This window comes from Homo sapiens, chromosome 11, assembly GCF_000001405.40.
Source record: "Homo sapiens chromosome 11, GRCh38.p14 Primary Assembly".
NCBI lineage: Eukaryota > Metazoa > Chordata > Mammalia > Primates > Hominidae > Homo > Homo sapiens.
The window spans coordinates 24,896,780-24,921,338 of NC_000011.10; the positions used below are offsets into that span (position 1 = coordinate 24,896,780).

Sequence of the window (24,559 nt, forward strand, 5' to 3'; positions counted from 1 at the left end):
GAGAACTTTTGTGGCTAGCTGGAGGATTGTATATGCACCAATCAGCACTCTGTGTCTAGCTGAAGGTTTGTAAACGCACCAATCAGCACTCTGTATCTAGCTAATCTGGTGGGGACTTGGAGAAATTTTATGTCTCGCTAAAGGATTGTAAATACACCAATCAGCACTCTGTGTCTAGCTCAAGGTTTGTAAATGCACCAATCAATACTCTGTGTCTAGCTCAAGGTGTGTAAACGCACCAATCATCACCCTGTGTCTAGCTCAAGATTTGTAAACACACCAATCAGTGCTCTGTGTCTAGTTAACCTAGTGGGGACTTGGAGAACTTTTACCTCTGGCTAGAGGATTGTAAATACACCAATCAGCACTCTGTGTCTAGCTCAGGGATTGTAAACACACCAATCACACTCTGTCAAAACGGACCAATCAGCACTCCGTAAAATGGGCCAATCAGCTCTCTGTAAAATGGGCCAATCAGCAGGATGCAGGTGGGGTCAGAAAAGGGAATAAAAGCAGGCTGCAGGAGCCAGTAGTAGCAACCCGCCTCTGTGGAAGCTTTGTTGTTTTGCTCTTTGCAATAAATCTTGTTCTGCTCTTTCTTTGGGTCTGCGTTGTTTTTATGAGCTGTAACACTCATTGCGAAGGTCCACAGCTTAACTTCTGAGGCCAGCGAAACCATGAACCCACCGGGAGGAATGAACAACTCTGGACGGGAGGAACAAACAACTCCCGAGGCGCTGCATTAAGAGCTGTAACACTCACCGCGAAGGTCTGCAGTTTCACTCCTGAAGCCAGGGAGACCAGGAACCCACCAGAAGGAAGAAACTCTGACCATGTCCGAACATCAGAAGGAACAAACTCTGGACACACATATTTAAGAATTGTAACACTCACTGTGAGCGACTGTGGCTTCCTTCTTGAAGTCAGTGAGACCAAGAACCCACCAATTTCGGACACAATATGATTGTTGGTTGCTTGTATGACTTGTTGGGAAAATAGTTTGTTTATGTTTTTGTCCTTTTTTTAATGGGGTTATTTATTTTTTGCTTGCTCAATTGATTTACTTATGGATTCTCAAGGAGATTTTCATCTTTGTCCTCTTCCTTTTGCCTTGCCTTTAACATGGATTCCTACGCTTTCTGGAAGAGAATAACATAGTGAAATTTGCAATTCAGAAAAAAATACATTGGCAGTTGAAATTTGTATAGTACACTATGATATGCATTTATATATAAATATGTTCAGTTTTAACAGATGCCTAGTAACATATAGTTGAATGGATCTAGGAGATTCTGCTATTGAGAAGAAAAAAACTGGAATGTATTTTCAAAATTGTACAACTCCTATTCATACACTTTTATATTTGGTATATCTGTGAGAAAATATCCATGAAGAGAAACGTAAGAACTTACATAAATTGGAAGAGTAAAGCATATCTAAGACATCCAGTTTATGAGTGACAATTATAAAAAAAAAAATCAGGTAAGTATGTCAGATCCTTGTATCTGTTTTCAGGTAATCTGGCCAAATAGCAGTAACATCATCTTTAAAAAATGAGTTTAAGGCCGGGCGCGGTGGCTCATGCCTATAATTCTAGCATTTTGGGAGGCCGAGGTGGGCAGATCACAAGGTCAGGAGATCAAGACCATCCTGACTAACACGGTGAAACCCCGTCTCTACTAAAAATACAAAAAATTAGCTGGGCGTGGTGGTGGGCGCCTGTAGTCCCGCTACGCGGGAGCCTGAGGCAGGAGAATGGCATGAACTTGGGAAGCAGAGCTTACAGTGAGCCCAGATCGTGCCACTGTACTCCAGCCTGTGCGACAGAGCAAGACTCTGTGTCAGGAAGAAAAAAAAAAAAACAAGAGTTTAAAACCAGGGTGGGTCAGAGTGGTGCGCATATACATATAAAACGTGACAATTTCTTGTGTAAAAAATAAGATTTTTAAAAGACATTTCTAGTCTCATATGAATACTACAAATTTTTATTTGCTAGCGTTTTTGGGGTGAATGCCAAAAACCCTTGTGAGGTACCTGGAAATGGACTGGAAAGAGTAGGTGGCAAATGAAGGCAGAATAGTACAGTGTTCTATTAGATGGGACCAATGTTAAAAATAAACTCTGAGTTAAGAGACATCACATCATTTCCTGAGACAGAATACAAACAAACAAAAGATTCTTTTCTACCTGTTTAAGAGATTGGTAGTTTTACTAACTTATTTTTCTCTGAAAATAACATACGCATATTGGCAATTTTCTTTCACTTTATCTAAACTAGATACAGTGATGTAATAAACTATCAAATTTTCATACGTTGGATGATTGAAAAATTTAGAAATTTCTAAACTTATTCACTTGCATTTATATATCATGTGTAATGACCTCATCAGGGATACCTTTTTTGATTCATTTACACCAAATTATGTGTCTTTTATAATTTTATAATGGTTCGCTCATCTTCAGATTTATTATATATCTTATAGCGTGTGATTTAGTAATTATGTATGGCAGAGTGTGATCTTTTGTTTCAAATGTAGGATATTTGAGTTGATATTGTACCACTTCCTACATTTGAAGTGGTACAATATCAATTCTAAATAGACTTCTAAATATACTAGACTCTAGAAAAACAAGAAGGTAAAAAAAAAACTGTGAGGTTGTAAACAAAACCTGATTATATATTGATTATATTAAATTACATGTAAATACTTTAATTGAGAGAAAGATATCGCCAGACTATATAAAAATATACAATCAAATTATACTTGACAATTATTTAAAAATGCACTTTATATACAAAGTCTCAAGAAAGATGAAAGTAAAATATGAAAATATATGCTATGCAAACTGCAAGAGAAAAGGCTTTAGCGTGTCTCACATCAGATAAATTAGCCATGACAAAATAAATTACCAGAGAGAAAGAGAGGCATATTATAATGTTAAAAGGGGCAATCCTTTATTCTAAAAGACATAACAATTCTTAAATTTGTAAGCACCTAAAAGAGCTTCAAATTTCATGAAGCAATAACTGACAGACTTAAAGGAATAGACAAATCCACAATGACTTTGGGATATTTTAATACTCCTTTCAAGCTAATAGATAGAACAAAGAGAAAACTCAGAGAAGATGTAGAAATTGGAATTCTAATGACTTTCAAGTTCTTTATATGTCAATGCTGAAAATGAAAGTCTCTTTTGTTATATATATTTAATGTTATTTCTAAATGAACTTCACCATCTTTGCCAATGATAGCTATGTCTATTGACTGATTTCCTCCTCCTTTGTCTTAAGGCTCTCATTTTCCTGATTCTTGTGTTTAATGATTTCGAATGTATACTGAATTGTAGATATTACATTATTGGGCACCAGGATTTTGTTATCTTCTAAGAGTATTACATTCTAGTAGATAATAATTGTTTAGCTTGGTTATTTTGAGTTTTGTTTTTAAGCTTTATAAGGTTGGTCTAAATGAGACTTTACAGGACTGTTTTGGCCTTGCTTGTAAGACAGGCCTTTCTAGGGTTTTTATTAAATATCTTAGTGGTTAAGTCTTTCCATTCTGGCTTGTTGGAAATTGAATGTCTAGGTGAGCTCTAGTAATTTTTCACCTTGCAGTTCTTTTCTGGTGGTTCTTTAGCTGACCTTGCAGCATGTTTGTTTATGTATATGCAGATTTCCATTCATCTAAAGACATAAGGGAACATCCCTGAAAATCCTGTGTACTCTTTTTCTGCATTGCATTCTTAAATTAAGTTCAGCCCAAAGTTGCCTCCTTACACATTTTAAGTTTGGCCTAAAGGTTTCTCTATACATAGTGAAGTGTAACCTAGCTGATATGTTAAGCAGACTGTATCCTACACTTGTGCCAGCCACTGAGTTTTTGCCAGTGAAGAGAAGTCGACTGTTAAAACCATGTTCAAACACAGCAAACACCGAGCTGTAACCAGAGGAGCTGTTTTTGTACCTCACTTTCATTTTCTGTATGTCATTTTGCTTTTTCTGTCCATAAATCTTTGATCGCATAGCTGCAATGGAGTGTCTCTGAACTTAGTCTGGTTAAGGGGCTGCCTGATTTGCAAATCATTCTTTGCTCAAACTGTTAAATTTAATTTGTCTAAGATTTTCCCTTTAACAGCTTTGAAGCCTCTGCTGTTTTGTAACATAAATTATACCTGATCACCTTTCTCTAATGTTAAACTCTTTTTTTCTCAACTAATCAAAACTTCTGTGGTCTGCTTGGGTTTTTCTTCCATATGGTACTTCATAAATTGTCTCCAGATAAAAACAAAACAGAACAAAAACAAAAAAGAGCAACTGCAGGGATTTCTTGCCTATTTCTCCTCTCTTTAGTACGACAGTCTGGCAGTAGTGGCTGTCTACTGTCTTAAACATTTGTTTTATTATATTCTGTCTAGTCATCTAGTTGTTTATGGCAAGAGGGCTTGTCTGAGGCCAGATGCTTCATATTGGCCAAAGGAGTTATTTTCTCAATTGATTTTTGACAAAGGCACTTAGATATTTCAATGTACAAAGGAGCATTTCTTCAACAATTGGTGCACAAGTAACTGGATGTTTGCAATGAAAACTAAAAGTGAACTTTGACCCTTACCTCACTTCATTAAAAAAAAAAAAAGGTAACTTGAAGAGGATTATAGAAAAGAATATACACCAAAACTATAAAACTTTAAGAAAACTATTTGAGAAAAAATTCTTCATGACTTTGAAGTAGGCAAACATTTCTTAGGGCACAGAAAGCATTATTCCCAAAAACTTCTTGACCAAACTTTAGACAGACTCCTCTGAGTTCGCTCTTCAAATGGGCCTTTTCCTCAGGTCTTGTCTTAGACTTGCCTAGTCCAGTTGTAGCTAAGTCAGTTTAGGGAGACTCCCCACCCTTGATATCTAAACCTGATCAAGTGGCTTTCAGAAAGGATTCTATTAGGCAGGTTTAGCAAGAATCCCTCTACCCGTGATAGCTCCCATTAGTAGTTTTCTATCCATTGACCTCCATAATTCTGCTCATTGGCTATAAATCCCCAGCTGTCTTTGCTATATTTTTGCTATATTTAGAGTCGAGTCCCATCTCTCTCCCTTATTTCAATAGCTTTGACATTTGTTTCAAAAGTCCTGAATCAAATCTTTCTTATCATTTTACAAGTAAACATGATAAACAGAACTTCAGTAAAATATAGCAGTGTAATATTTTGGTCTCCCTTAATAAATCAAACATAGGTTAATATTTGCCGCTTTATTTGTCAAATTCTAGTAATGAGAAAAGTTATTTAGTCCAAAGGGTTTTATTGTCAATCAAATTTAGGAAAATCATTTACATTAAACACAATTTTATTATTATCAAAACATCTAATAATAGTAATTAGGTTCACGAGTACATGTTCAGGGGTACATGTGCAGGTTTTTTATAAAAATAAACTGGTAAACTCATGTCATAGAGGTTTGTTGTACAGATTATTTTGGCACCCAGGTACTAAGCCTTGTACCCAATAGTTATTTTTTCTGATCCTCTCCCTCCTCCCACCCTCAACACTCAGGTAAAACCCAGTGTCTGTTGTTCCCCTCTTTGTGTCCATGAAGCACAATATTCTAATAAAGACTCTGAGAAATCCGGAGAAAATAAATCTTTTTCAACATTGTTCCACTCATATTATCGTAGCATTAATCTTTTTTGGGGGAGTGGAGAGTAAATATTATTAAAGAAAGTTAAATGGTTCTATGGAACATCTTTATCAAAACTCTAGCTTCACTAATGGTGTGGAATGTTTAGCACTGCTTGCTACTCTATAAACTTGACAGACAGATCCTGATCATTGAAAAGCCTACTCCAAGTAATTAAGGAATAGTCTATTCTGAGAAATCAGTGTGAGAAGCAGAGAAAACAGGTCAATGAAATAAATAGTATGCTAAAAATTAGTCTTTTGTTGTGTATATTAATTATCATCTATGTTTCCTCAGAAAAAATATAAAATAATATCATTTTTGAAGGATAAAAGTTAGTATTTGCTATAATTTATATCATTCAGATCAACATTCAAAATTTCCCCTTAGTGTTAGCAGCATTAATAAGTGAACAAATAATAATAACAAAAATAAATGAATACAAACATAGATACATAAATGAACAGAAGAAAGAAAAAATAGCTTTAAGTGGAGATGCAAATTTTAAATAGTATATACTACAGACACCAACTTTTAAATACGCTGTTTATTAATTCATAGTTATTTCTTAATTCTAATAATGTTTCTTAGGTGTGAGTGGTTTTGGCAGGACATAAATACTCCTATCAAATGTACATCCCCTATTTTGTCTCCATTTTGAAGAGTTTTATTTTGCTACAACCTGAGCAACATTGCAGAGCCAGAACATATCAGTGTACATCCCTTTATTGGGGATACACATCTCTTCAAATATGGAATTAATGTATATCAGATTCTTTTTAAAAAAAGAACCCTAATATTGTACCTTGCATGATCAGTGCAAATATTTGCAAAAATACATTACTTGAACAAATCAGAATAACTTCCTCCCATTTGTGTAAAACATTTCATGGTATTGAAATTCTAACTGAGCTTTTTAGATTTCCAAATTTTAGCTAAAGAGGAAAAAAACAAGTATTCTTTCAGACTGGGACAACTGTACCCCCTCACTCCATGATAGGAAAACAAAATAAAAAACCCTGTTCAAAATTAGCTTGGAATTCTAAGTGGGGAACTCTTAAACTTGATGTATCTGTTCATTCACTCTGCATTAAATGTTCATTTTGCTCCTGGTGCTTATCCAATTGGCCCTCCTTGGAGTTATTGCGTATAATATGTACTTGTACCAGGACACTGTCCACTCCTCTAGAGTCAGTATGATGTCTGAATCCTGTGTGTTTTGGTTATCTGCTCTCCTTTAGCCTGCCCATCTAAAGACAGTCTATGTACTTCAGCTATTGCAGTAAAAGACAGAAAAGCCTGAGTGCAATAAGCCAGATATAATTAAATAGCCACGAGGGGTTGGACTCAGATGGTTAATAAGTGTCAAAGGGACAAACATTTGCCTTTGAACTAGGTCAATTATGAGATATTTAAAGGGTAACAGATCTGTGTATACTCATTCAGAAAGAGTATACCTCTCAGGCCTGGAAGAAGAAATGGCTTCTGAGAATCAAGGAGTTCAACATACTGATTTCATTTATTTTTGATATATATCCAGTAATGGGGTTGCTGGATTACATAGTAATCAATTTTTAATTTTTTGAGACACTTCCATACTGTTTTCCGTAATGGCTGTACTAATTTACATTCCCAGCAACTGTGCATAAGAGTTCCCCTTTCTCCACATCCTCATCAGTACTTGTTATTTTTTGCCTTTTGATAATAACCATCCTAATCTGAGTGTGGTAATATTTCATTGCATTTTCCTGACGATTAGTAATGTTTAACATTTTTAGTATATCTATTGGCATTTGTTTGTCTTCCTGTGAGAAATGTTTATTCAGATAGTTTGCCATTTTTTTTTTCAGACAGAGTCTTGCTCTGCCACCCAGGCTGGAGTGCAGTGCCGTGATCTCGGCTCACTGCAAGCTCTGCCTCCTGGGTTCACACCATTCTCCTGCCTCAGCCTCCCGAGTAGCTGGGACTGCAGGCACCCACCACCACGCCCGGCTAATTTTTTTGTATTTTTAGTAGAGACGGGGTTTCACTGTGTTAGCCAGGATGGTCTTGATCTCCTGACCTCGTGATCCACCCGCCTCAGCCTCCCAAAGTGCTGGGATTACAGGCATGAGCCACCACGCCCGACCTATTTTGCCAATTTTTGATAAATCATATTATTTGCTTTTTGCTTTTGATTTGTGTTCTTGGTTTGTTCTAGATAGTAACCTTTGTCAGCTGAGTAGTTTGCAAATACGTTCTCCCATCCTTCAGCTTGTCTCTTCACTGTATTGTTTTCTTCTGCTGTGCAGAAGTAGTAAATCCTTACCTATCAATAATAACCTTGACTATAAATAAACTAAATTATCTAATTAAAGTATATAAAGTGGTTAAATGGACTAAAAAAAGACTCAAATATATGCTGCTTATAAGAAACTTGTTTCACCTATAAAGACATGCATAGACTGAAAGTGAAGGGATGGAAAAAGATATTCCATGCAAATGGAAACCAAAACAGATTAGAAGTAGCTATGCTTACATCAGAAAAATTAGACTTTCAGTAAAAAATGATTTAAAAAATGACAAATAAGTCCATTATATAATGATAACAGGGTCATTACAGTAGGAGAATATAACAATTGCAATTACATATGCATCCTACACTGGAGCACCTTTATATGTATATATATAATAACAGATCTAAATGGAGATATTTGTTGTGATGTAAGAATAGTAGGGTACTTTAATACCCCACTTTCAGAACTAGACATGTTATCCAAACAAAAAATGAACAAAGAAACATCAGAGTAAGGCCAGGTGCGGTGGCTGATACCTGTAATCCCAGCACTTTGTGAGGCCGAGGCAGGCCGATCACCTGAGGTCAGAGTTCAAGACCAGCCTGGCCAACATGGCGAAACCTCATCTCTACTTAAAATACAAAAAAAATTAGCCAGGCATGGTGGTGCACATCTGTAATCCCAGCTACCTGAGAGGCTGAGGCAGGAGAATAGCTTCAACCTGGAAGGCAGAGGTTGCAGGGAGCTGAGATCATACCATTGCACTCCAGCCAGGACAACGGAGTGAAACTTCGCTCAAAAAAAATAAATAAAAAAAAAGAAATATCAGAGTTAAACTGCGCTCTAGACCAAATGGACCTCATGGACATTGACAGAACATTTTGCCCAACAGCTATAGCATACACATGGAAAGTTCTCCAGTATAGACTGTATTTTAGGACGCAAACACCCACGCACAAAATTAAATTAACTTTTTTTTTCAAAAACGAAATCATATCAATTATCTTTTCTCCCCACAATAGAATAAAACTAGAAATTACCTTTTTAAATGAATGTGTTAATGCTAATATGCCAAATTTTAATTGAATAAAAAACAATCTTTTACTTTACAGATTTGATTCAGTTTTACACCAATCCATTACATTTTACATCATGAAGGTCTAATTTTTGAACAGAACATAAAGCAATAATGTTGACATAGTTGAAGGAATTCTTAATATTTTGTCTCTTCTTTGCAATAAAACTATGTTTTCTTCCTCAGAATAAAAGCTTGAAAAACAAACTCTTGTCAGGAAACAAGCTCTGTGGCATTCACGCAGAAGAGGTGAGTAAATTTTTGCTTCTTCTAGCTTTAACCAGATAAAAACAGTATTATTGTCAGATTTTTGTTCAACTCAGACATCTGGTAACTCTTTTTCCTCCTAATACAAATGCCAATTTTTAAATAGAAAAATATAATATATTTTAAACCTTTTGGTATCTTTGTGTTTTAACATTGCAATAGCCAAAAGGAAAAAAAAAAATTAACAAAGGCAGGTAATGATCACCTTTGTAGATTTTTTTTTTTCTGGATTTCTTCCTTATCTGGACTATCAGAACTTCCTTAATAGCAAATTACTGGGAGTCCATAAAATTTCCTTTTTTTTTTCCCCTCTCTTGTACTTTCTATGTGATGTCTACAAAGTTTTGCAGTGGCAAGTGACTGTCAGAGTGAAGATTCCGGGCTTGTCCATAAACCATACAAAATCAATACACTCATTGGTTCTATTTGCTGTGTAGTAAAATTGTCTCATATATTTCTCAGGGGGAAATGTCATTCTGCTTAACATAGATTTAACTAAAATAATCATTTTTCTATATTTCTCATCTCCAAGTCTATTCTTATGACTCTGTAATGTGAAAATGTAGCTCATAGAAGCCTTAGTAATATCAATGAAATAGGAATGATACTGTCATGATAAGTGATTGTTTATGACTCAAGGAGAGGAGACAAGAGTCACTGTTTTAGCTGCATCCTCCAAGAAGCACACACTAAGATATATTAAATGTGCGAGAAATATATTCAAGAAATAGCTTATGAATGATAAGGGACAGTCATGAGTGGCTTCATATCATGATGAATGTCTTATACCTAAGATGTAGAGGGAAGGAAGGAAGTTTAGCTGCAATGAGAAAAGTTGCTTACACAAGTTAAAACAAGTTTACCCTTTGTCTCAGAGTTGTCTAGAAGTAAGGCGAAGAGTTTCTAAAACAGCTCTATTGTCTTTAAATTATGGCATGACCACTGATTCAAAAATATCTTTTTCTGCCACTATCCTCTTCCAGCAGGAAGGAAAGGGAAGATAACCTGGTGAAGCACAAGCGTTGCTTCTCAGGAGTCCACCCAGGAAATAGTCTCTTCTATCTCATTGTACCCTATTTGCTAAAACTAGCTCACATGCTGAGCTAAGTTGAAGCGAGTCTGGAAAATGTCACTAGGTCAGTGGTCCTGTGTCCAGCCCAAACTAAGATTTGTTAAAGAAGGTGAAAACTCTCCTTGAAAAACAAGAAAAAATCATTAACACAAATACAAAAAAAAAAAAAAAACATTAACACAAATACAAAATAACATGCAATGTAACAATCCATTTTATAATATCTTTCCTATAATATTATATATGGCATGAATAGAAGTGTTTAATACACAAAAACTAAAAGATGATGTTCCATAGGATGAAAAATTAGCCTAAATGGTTTGTAGATCTGATCTAGTGTAGCATTTCATTTCTTTGTATTTTTCTATTTGAATACAAATAGACTTGTACATTGTTTATATTTCCTAGGTTTTGGAAATAGTATAAATGTGGTTTGTGCAGGTTGTGAGTATTACTTACAAGAGGGTAACAAGGTAGAATGATGTTTTGAATAAGAAATATCTAGATTGAAGTTATATTCTGATATGATTTATATGTGTTCAGGGTTCACATGACACTCATGTATATGAAAGAGAGGAAGCTCCTATGAGAAATATCTGTGGTGCACAGAAGTAAAAATGGGCTTACCTTTATTGTTTAGTCTGTCAGTTCAAGAATAATTCGTATTTTTTCTTCATCTCAATGCCTTTGAGAATATATTATCCCTGAATTGTTAGATACTTCATGTATTAGTGTTGCCTAATATTGAAATGTATTGTCATGCCTACTATTGAAATGTATTGTAATAGGTTCATTGCAATTTATTTGCTGTATGTCATTATGTATTTATGGAATAAATTTAGAGCTTAACATTCTCGGTAATGGGGCAGGCATGTGTTTTTGTCTGTCACAATACAATTTCAAAACAATATGGTGGCAAATTTAATTATTTGATTCACCATCACTACCAAAAACAAAATACTAATATATTTTCTTGGTTAGGAGCTAAAATGGAGATTGCCTGTTAGATCAGTGACCCTCAACTGTCAGTATTCATAGAATAAAATATCTAAATCCCATTGACACCCAGAAGATTGCCATTGTTTTAATTTGCCAGAGGATAATATTCACAAGGGAAGCTACTATAAACACCATCTACCAAAATCATCACTCCTATTTTATCAAAGAAATGCTGTTTGAACATGAAATTATAAGAAGCAAAAATCTCAGACTGAAAGATAATCTCCTGAATGGGATAAAAAAGCTGAGCTAAAATATCCTATCATGGCTGCCTACTTTTTCATCGTCCTTGTCTTTTTATATAGACAATGTTATCATTATTAGCAACTTTAATTTTGCCGTGAAATCTTCTTATGAAAACTTTATGACTCACAGTCACCAACATCTGGAACTGTATTTAAAATCACTAATTGTTTGAAGGTTATCCTTTTGATAATTTTAGCTTTTCAAAATGTTGCTAACAAGTTAAATAAAACGATCTAAGTGTTAGCTGGGTTTTGAATTAATATATATTATAAAAAAGAGATGTACCCACTCAGAATGCATTTATTCTTTGCATAATCTTTCCTGAAATCCTCAGACAGGAAGTTGCTTTTTTTGTTGTTTGTTTTTTTTCTTTTTTTTTTTTTTTGAGACTGAGTCTCCCTCTGTTGCCCAGGCTGGAGTGCAGTGGCACGATCTAGGCTCACTGCAAGCTCCACCTCCCAGGTTCATGCCATTCTTCTGCGTCAGCCTCCTGAGTAGCTGGGACTATCGGACTATTAGCCCGCCACCACACCCAGCTAATTTTTTGTATTTTTAGTAGAGACAGGGTTTCACTGTGTTAGCCAGGATGGTCTTGATCTCCTGACCTCGTGATCCACCTGCCTCGGCCTCCCAAAGTGCTGGGATTACAGGCATGAGCCACCGCACCCAGCCAGGATTTTGCTTTTAACTGAAAATTACAAGAGTGCTAGAAACAAAGAGATGAGTAACTGTGAGGAAAACCCCTAAAACATTTTTTAAAAATATATATATATATAATTATAGCAAAGCTCAAAAAATCTAGTCATTCAAGGCCATCAAATGCAGAAGGTTTTATTGTAGTTCCTGAATGAATCATTGAATAATTGATGTTTTGATAATAATTCCAAGTTATGTGGAAAATTTTAAATGATATTCTGTACATTCAGAATATGCACTTTAATTATGTTTTAAAAATGAACACCTCAAATTGTTAAAAGGCAACCATTCTGACACTTGAAAGATAGAGCATCAATTATGTGGAAGAATTGACATGCAGTTTGGCAACTCATGTGCACCATATGTGGTAGTAATCTCCCACTCTCCCTTGATATTCATCAACATTATTTTGAGGGAAAAAAAAAAAACAAAAGAAGAAAGTCTGTTTTCCTGAGAAACCTGGTTGTAAACGAGTCCTAGACAGCAGATTGGAAAAGCAGGGAGAAAATGCCAATCAACTGTGCATTTGAAATTGTGAGAGATTTAATAAATTATTGTTTTCTAAAATCAGCAGCACAAAATAATGATAACCATGTAAAGCAGAATTATCTTAGAGGGCCTCCCCAGCCATGTGGAATTGTGAGTCAATTAAACTCTTTCCTTTGTAAATTGCACAGTCTCAGGTATTTCTTTATGAGCAGTGTGAGATCAGACTAATACAGTAAATTGGCACCACAGGGAATGGGGTGCTGCTGTAATGATACCTGAAAATGTGGAAGCGACTTTGGAACTGGCTAACAGGCAGAGGTTGGAACACTTTGGAGAGCTCAGAAAAAAACAAGAAGATGTGGGGTAGTTTGGAACTTCCTAGAGACTTCACAAATGGTTTGACCAAAATGCTGATAATGATATGGACAATGAAGTCCAGGCTGAGGTGGTCTCAGATGGAGATGAAGAACTTGTTGGGAACTGGAACAAAGGTGATTCTTGCTATGCTGTAGCAAAGAGACTGTCAGCATTTTGCCCCTGCCCTAGAGTTCTGTGGAACTTCGAACTTGTGAGAGATAATTTAGGGTAACTGGTGGAAGAAATTCATAAGCAGCAAAGTGTTCAAGAGGAAGTGGAGCATGAAAGTTTGGAAAATTTGCATACTGACAATGCAATAAAAAAAAAGAAAGAAAACATTTTCTGGAGAGCAATTCAAGCCAAAGGCAGAAATTTGCATAAGTAATGAGGAGCCCAATGTTAATCACCAAGACAATGGGGAAAATGTCTCCAAGGGACAAGGAAACCTTCATGGCAGCCCTTCCCATCATATGCCCAGAGGTCTAGGAGGGAAAAATGGTGTCATGGGCTGGGTCCAGGGCCTCCCTGCTCTGTACAGCCTCTGGACATGATGCCCTGCATCCCGTCTGCTTCAGCTCCAGCTGTGGCTGAAAGGGGCCACGGTACATCTCAGACCATTAATTCAGAGGGTGCAAGCACCAAGCCTTGGTGCCTTCCATGTGGTATTGAGCCTGTGGGCACACAGAAGTCAAGAATTGAGGTTTGGGAACCTCCACCTACATTTCAGAGGAGGTATGGAAATGCCTGGATGTCCAGGCAGAAATGTCCTGCAGGGGCGGAAGCCACATGGATAACCTCTTCTAGGGAAGTGCAGAAGGGAAATGTGGGTTTGGAGTTCTACACAGAGTCACCACCGCATCACTGCCTAGTGGAGCTGTGAGAAGAGAGAGCCACCGTCCTCCAGACTCCAGAATGGTAGATCCACCGACAACTTGCACCGTGCACCTGGAAAAGGCATGGGCACTCAATGCTAGCCCATGAAAGCAGCCAGGAGGGGGGCTGTACCTTGCAAATCCACAGGGTGCAGCTGCACAAGGCTATGCGAGTCCACCTCGTATATCAGCATAACCTGGATGTGAGACATGGAGTCAAAGGAGATAATTTTGGAACTTTAAGGTTTAATGACTGCGCTATTGGCTTTCAGCATTGCATGGAGCCTGTGGCCCCTTTGTTTTGGCCAATTTCTTCATTTGGAATGGGTATATTTACCCAATGCCTGTACCCCCATTGTATCTGGGAAGTAACTAACTTGCTTCTATTTTACAGGCTCATAGGCAGAAGGGAATTGTGTTCTCAGATGAGATGTTGGACTTGGACTTTTGGGTTAAAGCTGGAATGAGTTAAGACTTTGGGGGACTGTTGGAAGGACTGTTTTGAAATGTGAGGACATGAGATTTGGGAGGGGCTGGAACAGAATGATGTGGTTTGGCTTTTTGTTTTTACCCAAATCTCACCTTGATTTGTAATCCCATAATCTCCACATTTCAAAGGAGGGTCCTGGTGGGAGGTAATTGAATTTTGGAGGCAGTTTCTCCCATGCTGTTCACTTGATAGTGAGTGAGTTCTCAGGAGATCCAATGGTTTTTTAAGCATCTGGCATTTCCCCTGCTGGCACTCACTCTCTCTTCTGCCACCCTGTGAAGAGGTGCCTTCCACCATGATTATAAGTGTCCTGAGGCCTCCCCAGCCATGCAGAACTCGGAGTCAATTAAGCTTCTTTCCTTTATAAATTACACAGTCTCAGGTATTTCCTTATAGCAGTGTGAGAACAGACTAATACAGAGAGTAAATTAACATAATAAGACATAGATGCTGTACTTGAAATATTATTTTGAGTCACTTGGGAAGCTGTGTGAGGACAGACAGTGATGTAATAAATGTGATTCTGAAGTAGAAGAATAAAGTCAAGGTACTGAGGGGTCAATGTGAGTTTTCATTCATAAAAGCCATTGGCAACTAGGTAGACTCAATCATGTCTTTTTGTTCTTCTTATGCATCATGCATTTCACCTTCAGTATCCATATCAAAAGAAAGGTGACTTTCTATGGAAATGAAAACAAATCAATTACCCTGTGAGAAACCATAAATTCTTGCTGCTGCTTTGTACAGAGTTAAGTGATACAGAATTATTAACATATCTCACTCTTAACTTACCCTTCCTTTCGTTTCCTTTCTTTTCCTTTCGTTTCCTTTCCTTTCCTTCCTTTTTCCTCTCTTCCTTCCTCTCTTTCCTCCTCTTTCCTTCTTTTCCTCTCTCCCACTTCCTCTTTACCTCCCCCTTTCTCTCTCCTTCTCTTCCTGTCTCCTTTTCTTTTTTTTTAATTTTATTTCATTTTGTTTTCTTTTTGTTCTTTCTTGTTAACTTCCTGATTCAATGGATCATGAAATGCAGGTGACTTATAATAGAAATATCTGTGAAAAAACTGTGTTTCCAATATTAGAACCTTGTAGTGGTGCATCATTGACAACAAATTCAAGTTTCCACTTGAATCAATCATACTTATAGCATTGAACAATGATTGAAAAATTATTGTGCCATTATAACACAGCTCCAACTTCACAAATTGAGTACACTGCATAATTAGAAATATTCTGGGGCTGGGCATGGTGGCTCACATCTGTAATCCGAGCACTTTGGGATGCTGAGGTGGGCAGATTGCCTGAGCTCAGGAGTTCGAGACAAGCCTGGACAACACAGTGAAACCCTGTCTCTACTAAAATACAAAAAAATTAGTCTGGTATGCTGGTGTGCGCCTGTAGTCCCAGCTACTCAGGAGGCTGAGGCAGGAGAATTGCTTGAACCAAGGAGGCGGAGGTTGCAGTGAGCTGAGAATGCGCCACTGCACTCCAGCCTGGGCAACAGAGCAAGACTCCATCTCAAGAAAAAAAAGTTCTGAATATTATAGAAAACTGAATCACAATAAACTTGCAGTTGGTTCAGTGGAAAACATATACATGCATTGTAAGCTTGGAAAATTATATTTCTACCATATAGGCAGACATTCTTTATTAAAAAAGGGCTTGTATATCAACACAGTTTACTAGCATGTAATAGTGACATAAGGATCATGGGTTTATTACCTACTGCAGCCAGCTGCTTTTAAAATTTAATTTCATTGAGATAAAATTTAATTTTATTGAGATTTATCTAGTTTAAGTGTACAGTCTGATGGATTTGACCAATGGATAGATTCAAAACATAGAATTTTTTCATTACCCTCCAAAATGTCTTCTTGCTATATTACACTGAATCTTCATCCCCATGTCAACTACTAAACTGATTTCTGTCCCTATTTGTTTGCCTTTTAGAATGTTTTCCAAATGGAATTGTACAAAATATAGCTTCTAGTTACTGGATTCTTTCACATGGTATAATGCTTTTGAAATTTGTCCATGTTGTTCTATAATTCAGTACTTCATTCCTTTTTCATTGCTCAGCAGTAGTCTAGTACTCCATGTCATGGATATACTACAATTTATCTCTTCATTTCTTATTAAACATATATGCTTTATCTAGCTTTTGGCTATTATGAATAAAGATGCCATAAGCATTTTTGTATATGTTATAATTCTTCTTGGGTAATTACCTAGGACATATTGCAGTGTAATGCAATGTACATATGTTTAATTTTATCAGAAACTGTCAGTTTCCCCAAATGATGATACTAATTTATAATTCCACTCAAATACATTTTAAGTATCAATTTTTCCTTCATGTGATCATGCTAATCTATTTATTTGTGTGTGTGTGTGTGTGTGTGTGTGTTATTGGTTATTGGTGGTAGTAGTTTTCTTTTTCTGTTTGTTTGTTTTTTGCCTGAGTAAAGAATCAGTACCTATAATTTTAGGTACAGAAATACAATAATCTGAAGTCCTTATATTTAATGTTAGTAATTGGGACTGTCCTGAAAAATTCAAAATACATGATCATAACTCTGTGACTTAAGGGACCGTAATTAAATGTGGTAGTCAAAGCAAACTGCTGAGAAAGATTTTCTTTTTAAGTATTTTCCTATTAGTGATGGCCCTCTTAAAAAATGTATTGCTCTAAAATGCAAACAACATTCAGCTCAGCATGTTAGTATTGTAGCAGCTTTTCTTGCTTCCGATCACATTTGCTTTTACCTGGACATATGTCAAATTCAAATTTATTCTAATTTAATTTAAAAAAAGTAATTGAAAATAAGTAGTAAAAAAAATGAGGCATGCATATGTACAGATATAATTAGCGTCTAAAATTAGATTGTTGGCCATGCCTGGGTGACAGAAATTTTGTGTGTTTAGTTGTGGATTGGAGGAAGAACAATAATCGACTTTCTTTAAATAACATGTTTTAAACAAGCTTCGGTTTTTCTCTTTCTGCCTAGGTTGTCCAGAGGTCTGACTCTCAAAGCAGAGCTAAGGGTTTCTGCTTTACTTCTAAACTGGTTGGACTGTGCTTTGCTTGGCTGCAAAATGTATTCCTGTGAAGTCTGAAAGTATTTTAATCTTCAAGTTTGAAAATATAAATGAGTTACACAACTTATCCATGTTTTTGCCTTACAGTCAAAAAAAATCCAAGCCCAGCTGAAGGAGCTTCGTTATGGGAAGAAGGATTTATTATTTAAGGTGAGTCTCTTTTCTCTCTTTTCCCTGAAACTTGCTAGCTCAATACCTAAAATATCAAAAACATTATTTAGGTTAAATTTATTTTCTGGAATTTCTCATGAATTGGAGTTGCATTTGACTGCATTAGAAATACTTTCATTTTCTTGACAACTTAATTAATGGAGATAAGTGGAAGTATTATTTCCTACATTCATTCTTAATCAAAAGCATGCCTCATTCCAGCAGGTTAGGAGTGTATAAAACAAATCCTGGTTCCCCAGAGTTCATGAGCTGCAGATATTAAGCTGAGAGACTTACGCAAAGGTAGATCATACAAGGACTTTTGAATCTTTTAAATTTATTTTTCAAATCAGAATTTTAGAAAGAAATGTTAGAAGACAATGAGACAGTTCAGTAATATTCAGTGTTTTACTTGTATGTAATATGCCAGTTGAATATAGATTAGTAATGCATCAACTTTCAGATATTATCAAGATCAGGACTTGTTGAAAATTTTTATGACTTAAAATATGAGATATATTGTATGTAAACCTTGTTATTTCATGTTATTTTACATTTTATGAAATCAGGAGACCTGAATACAAAGAGACTATGAAGTTGCATGAATTAGAATTCCTTTAATGTATACAATACCCACAAAAACTGTTCTACTGTAGGACTTTCATTAACTCAAATAACAAAAGGGCCAGAAGCATGACAATGTTATGATTTATTTCATAGCTCAACAGTGTCAACAAACCTCAGGTTTGTTTTTCATTGTCCTCTACATCACTCCATATAACAACCCTCAACTTACTGACTTATTCTAAACCTTGGTTCCTCATATAATCATGATGGTCGCTAAAGATATACATATTGTGTCTTCATCAAACTATGTACACAATCAAAGCAGAAAAAGGAGGCATTTGTCCTTCAAGGTCATTATTTTTTATGAAAGAGGAGAGTTTTTCGAGAAGATTCTCCAAACTAGGTTATGCATCCATGCAAAGGTAAAACCTTAGCATTTTTAGCAATTTTAGATTCTATTGTGAAAGACTGTTTCTTTTACAGATAAGTAATAGAAAGGGAGTTGCTGTGGGTTTAAGTCTTGAATAAACATATGTTGATGATAGACAGATAGATAGATAGATGATAGATAGATAGATGGATAGATAGATAGATAGATTAGATAGGTAGATAGATAGATGTGTCAAGGAAGTAGACAGTAGAAACTCAACTGTTAGGTTAGTGCAAGAGTAACTGAGGTTCTTGCCATTAAAAAAAAATGGTAAAAACCACAATTACTCTTGCACCAACCTAATAGCACAAAAGTATCTATTAACACAGACATTCAGCCATGCACCTTTGAAAATGAGTTGACAAACTGGTGAACCCTGAGATGAGTAGTAGATTCTATTTCACATACTTTCCCCTTAGGATATGTTCAATTTTGAATAGATTTTATTTTATTTTATTTTTTATTTATTTATTTTTTTTAGTAAATGTAGACTTTGAAGAAGTAATGCTTGCTGTCAAAACATTTACATTTCATCCTAAAAATAATGACACATGCTGGCACTTGCAAGGCATAATGATGAATTAAGTGCCCTTATTAATGCTTGAGAGCTGCCTTTAGCTTGGAAGAGGCTTTTAGCTGAAGTACAAATCCTTCACTAAAGATAGAGGTGAGGCCTAACTGACTGTTAGTTGCCCAGAGACTTGAGTTACTTTATATCCTCCTTGATTCCATTTGGAGCTGATATATTCTCTAGAATACCTAATCTCCATTTTAGTGCTCTTTTTATTTTTTATTTTTTTTATTTTCTTTTAAATTATACTTTAAGTTCTAGGGTACATGTTCACAATGTGCAAGTTTGTTACTATGTATACATGTGCCTTGTTGGTGTGCTGCACCCATTAACTCATCATTTACATTAGGTGTATTTCCTAATGCTATCCCTCCCCCCTCCTGCCACCCCACAACAGGCTGTGGTGTGTGATGTTCCCCTTCCTGTGTCCACATGTTCTCACTGTTCAGTTCCCACCTATGAGTGAGAACGTGTGGTGTTTGGTTTTTTGTCCTTGAGATAGTTTGCTGAGAATGATAGTTTCCAGCTTCATCCATGTCCCTACAAAGGACATGAACTCATCTTTTTATATGGCTGCATAGTATTCCATGGTGTATATGTGCCACATTTTCTTAATCCAGTCTATCACTGATGGACATTTGGGTTGATTCCAAGTCTTTGCTATTGTGAATAGTGATACCATAAACATACGTGTGCATGTATCTTTATAGCAGCATGATTTATGATCCTTTGGGTATATACCCAGTAATGGGATGGCTGGGCAAATGGTATTTCTAGTTCTAGATCCCTGAGGAATGGCCACACTGTCTTCCACAGTGGTTGAACTAGTTGACAGTCCCATCAACAGTGTTAAAGTGTTCCTATTTCTCCACATCCTCTCCAGCACCTGTTGTTTCCTGACTTTTTAATGATCACCATTCTAACTGGTGTGAGATGCTATCTCATTGTGGTTTTGATTTGCATTTCTCTGATGGCCAGTGATGATGAGCATTTTTTCATGTGTCTGTTGGCTGTGTAAGTGACTTCTTTTGAGAAGTGTCTGTTCATATCCTTTGCCCAATTTTGATGGGGTTGTTTGTTTTTTTCTTGTAAATTTGTTTGAGTTCTTTGTAGATTCTGAATATTAGCCCTTTGACAGATGAGTAGATTGCAAAAATTTTCTCCCATTCTGTAGGTTGCCTGTTCACTTTGATGGTAGTTTATTTTTGCTGTGCAGAAGCTTTTTAGTTTGATTAGATCCCATTTGTCAATTTTGACTTTTGTTGCCATTGCTTTTGGTGTTTTAGACATGAAGTCCTTGCCCATGCCTATGTCCTGAATGGTATTGCCTAGGTTTTCTTCTAGGATTTTTATGGTTTTAGGTCTAACATGTAAGTCTTTAATCCATCTTGAATTAATTTTTGTATAAGGTGTAAGGAAGGGATCCAATTTTAGCTTTCTACATATGGCTAGCCAGTTTTCCCAGCACCATTTATTAAATAGGGAATCTTTTCCCCATTTCTTGTTTTTGTCAGGTTTGTCAAAGATCAGATGGTTGTAGATGTGTGGTATTATTTCTGAGGGCTCTGTTCTGTTCCATTGGTCTATATCTCTGTTTTGGTACCAGTACCATGCTGTTTTGGTTACTGTAGCCTTGTAGTATAACTTTAAGTCAGGTAGCATGATGTCTCCAGCTTTGTTCTTTTGGCTTAGGATTGACTTGGCAATGCGGGCTCTTTTTTGGTTCCATATGAACTTTAAAGTAGTTTTTTCCAATTCTGTGAAGAAAGTCATTGGTAGCTTGCTGGGGATGATATTGAATCTAAAAATTACCTTGGGCAGTATGGCCATTTTCATGATATTGATTCTTCCTACCCATGAGCATGGAATGTTCTTCCATTTGTTTGTGTCCTCTTTTATTTCGTTGAGCAGTGGTTTGTAGTTCTCCTTGAAGAGGTCCTTCACATCCCTTGTAAGTTGGATTCCTAGGTATTGTATTCTCTTTGAAGCAATTGTGAATGGGAGTTCACTCATGATTTGGCTCTCTGTTTGTCTGTTATTGGTGTATAAGAATGCTTGTGATTTTTGGACATTGATTTTGCATCCTGAGACTTTGCTGAAGTTGCTTATCAGCTTATGGAGATTTTGCGCTGAGACGATGGGGTTTTCTAGATATACAATCATGTCATCTGCAAAGAGGGATAATTTGACTTCTTCTTTTCCTAATTGAATACCCTTTATTTCTTTCTCCTGCCTGATTGCCCTGGCCAGAACTTCCAACACTATGTTGAATAGGAGTGGTGAGAGAGGCCATCCCTCTCTTGTGCCGGTTTTCAAAGGGAATGCTTCCAGTTTTTGCCGATTCAGTAGGTTTGCACATGATTATCTCAGTAGATGCAGAAAAGGCCTTTGACAAAATTCAACAGTGCTTCATGCTAAAAACTCTCAATAAATTAGGTATTGATGGGACGTATCTCAAAATAATAAGAGCTATTTATGACAAACCCACAGCCAAAATCATGCTTTTTTTAGATTTGACAAATGTAATTCTTTAAAAAAAAAATCCTAAATATTATTTATCATTGAAGAAAAATTTCAAAAAAGTGTCAAAAAATATAAAGCCAAACTTAAAATCCCGTCACCAGAGCAAATGCAAACAATATTTTAACATATTTTATATTTCTGTCTATTTCCCTTTGTATGAATTATATCTGCCTGGTCATTGATATATATACACATATATCTCCATTGGAATACATCTATATATATATGTTCTTTATATATATCCATAATATATATTATATATAGTTATATATAATATATATCCATAATATGTATTATATATAGTTATATATACTATATATCCATAATATGTATTATATATAGTTATATATACTATATATCCATAATATGTATTATATATAGTTATATATACTATATATCCATAATATGTATTATATATAGTTATATATACTATATATCCATAATATGTATTACATATAGTTATATATACTATATATCCATAATATGTATTACATATAGTTATATATATGTTATATATAGTTATATATGATATATATTGATAATATATGTTATATATAGTTATATATGACATATATTGATAATATATGTTATATATTATATATGACATATATTGATAATATATGTTATATATTATATATGACATATATTGATAATATATGTTATATATTATATATGACATATATTGATAATATATGTTATATATTATATATGACATATATTGATAATATATGTTATATATTATATATGACATATATTGATAATATATGTTATATATTATATATGACATATATTGATAATATATGTTATATATTATATATGACATATATTGATAATATATGTTATATATTATATATAATATATATTCTTTATATATATTCATAATCTATATATTCTTTATATATATACTGTATATGTATTCTTTATATATATTCATAATTTTTAATTTAAATACACAGGATAGCTTTTAATTTTATGTAGATATACCAAAGGTTACTTAACCTTTCACTTATGTGTAGGTATGTTTATACATGCATACATATATATATAATGATTTAAATTTACATTATGATGAAAAATCCTTTCTTATTTTTAACTTGAGTTATAGTTTTTATGAAACATTTATCTAACTATCAAGTAGTTCATGAAAATTATTTTAAAATATTAATTATTGCTACCTAGTACAGGTGATTTTCAAAAGAAATACAATAGTTTACTCTCCCATCAGTACAATAATAACAAGAGAAATGTTGAATTTAAGAATTATTTTATACTGGATGTTTTATTAAAGAAACAAAAATAAATAATTGGTTAGCTAAGAAATTTTATGAATGAATAAGTCCTACACAACCATGACAAGTTGTGTTCCTTTAAGAGATTATAAAGTAAAATGATTATTTTGATTTTAAATTTTATTATTGGATGGTTTAAAGATTTAAGTCACTTGATTTTCTTTGCTTACTTTTTTGGGGAGGTAGGGGTAAATTAAAAACAATGTTTACAATACTCCCAAGTCACAAAAAATTCAATCTATCAACTTCTCTGTTGAGATACATAATGGCAGACATTTTGATAGTTTTGTGATTGTGTTTGTTGTTTATTGAATAAAAACAATTTTAAAATACCATGTGTCATTCAGTGTTTGAAATAAAATAGTGGCTTAGTTAAATTACTGCTTCAGGGAATTGGTAGTCCAGTTATTAAAAATATACTATAGTGATACATTTTTCCCTGTGTATTGTTAGTTTCTATATGCATACAACTGTGAATCAAAAATATTTGAACAAAATTTAACTCAGCAATCTCACTGTTGGGTATCTACTCCCCCAAAAAGAAATAATTAAATCAAAACTTATCTGCACTCACAGGTTTATCACAGTACTATTCACAGTAGGAAATATACAGAATCAATTGTAATATTCATCAACAGATGATAAAGAAATGTGGCATATGTACACATATGGAATGCTATTCAACTATAAAAAATAAAATCATGTCTTTTGCAGCAATACAGGTGAAACTGGAGGCCATTATCTTAATTAAGTGAAACAACCCAGACACAGAAATAAAAAAAAAAACCTGCATGTTCTCACTTAAAAATGGAAGCTAAATAATGTGTACACATGGACATAGAGTATGGAATGATGGATAATGAGTACTCAGAAGGGTTGTGGGGAAGGAAGGTACTGGAAGATGAGAAATTATTTAATGTGTATCATGTACATTATTTGAGTGATGGATACACTGAAAGCCCAGACATCACCACAATGCAATATATTCATGTAACAAAATTGCACTTACACCCCTTAAATGTATACAAATAAAAAAGAAAATATTTTTAAAAACACATAAAAATAATATATCCATTAAAAATAATACAGTAAAAATACAATATTTACATAGCACTTACATTGTATTAGGTATTAATATGGCTTTGATGACTGGGGGAACACCAGGGTTCTTGGTCTCCCACTGATAGGATTAACGACAGGGACACAGGTGGAGTGGTTTTAGGAATGAAAAGTTTAATAGGCAGGAAAGAAGAAAGAAAGAAGAAAACAGCTCCCCCATACAGAGACAGAGGGAGGGGGGCTCGGAACAAAGAGGAACCACATGTGCGGCAGAAAAGTGGTTGCTTATATTGGGATGCTGGAGGAGGCGGTGTTTTGTTTGCACAGGGCCCAGGGGATTGGTTTGACCAGGTGTGTCATT

At 35.0% G+C, this 24,559-nt stretch overlaps 1 protein-coding gene across 5 annotated transcripts in view; it reads left to right on the plus strand.

Moving 5' to 3' along the window:
- LUZP2 (leucine zipper protein 2) overlaps positions 1-24,559 on the plus strand; it is a 585,586-nt gene that overhangs the window by 399,727 nt on the left and 161,300 nt on the right. For 4 of the 5 annotated variants that reach the window (NM_001009909.4, NM_001252008.2, XM_047426868.1 and 1 more), the window contains exons 6-7: positions 9,212-9,274; positions 17,697-17,759. The exons of the other annotated variant lie outside the window; for it this stretch is intronic. In NM_001009909.4, the coding sequence (NP_001009909.2) occupies positions 9,212-9,274; positions 17,697-17,759 (126 nt within the window). The remainder of the gene's footprint in view (positions 1-9,211; positions 9,275-17,696; positions 17,760-24,559) is intronic. 5 annotated transcript variants of the gene reach the window in all.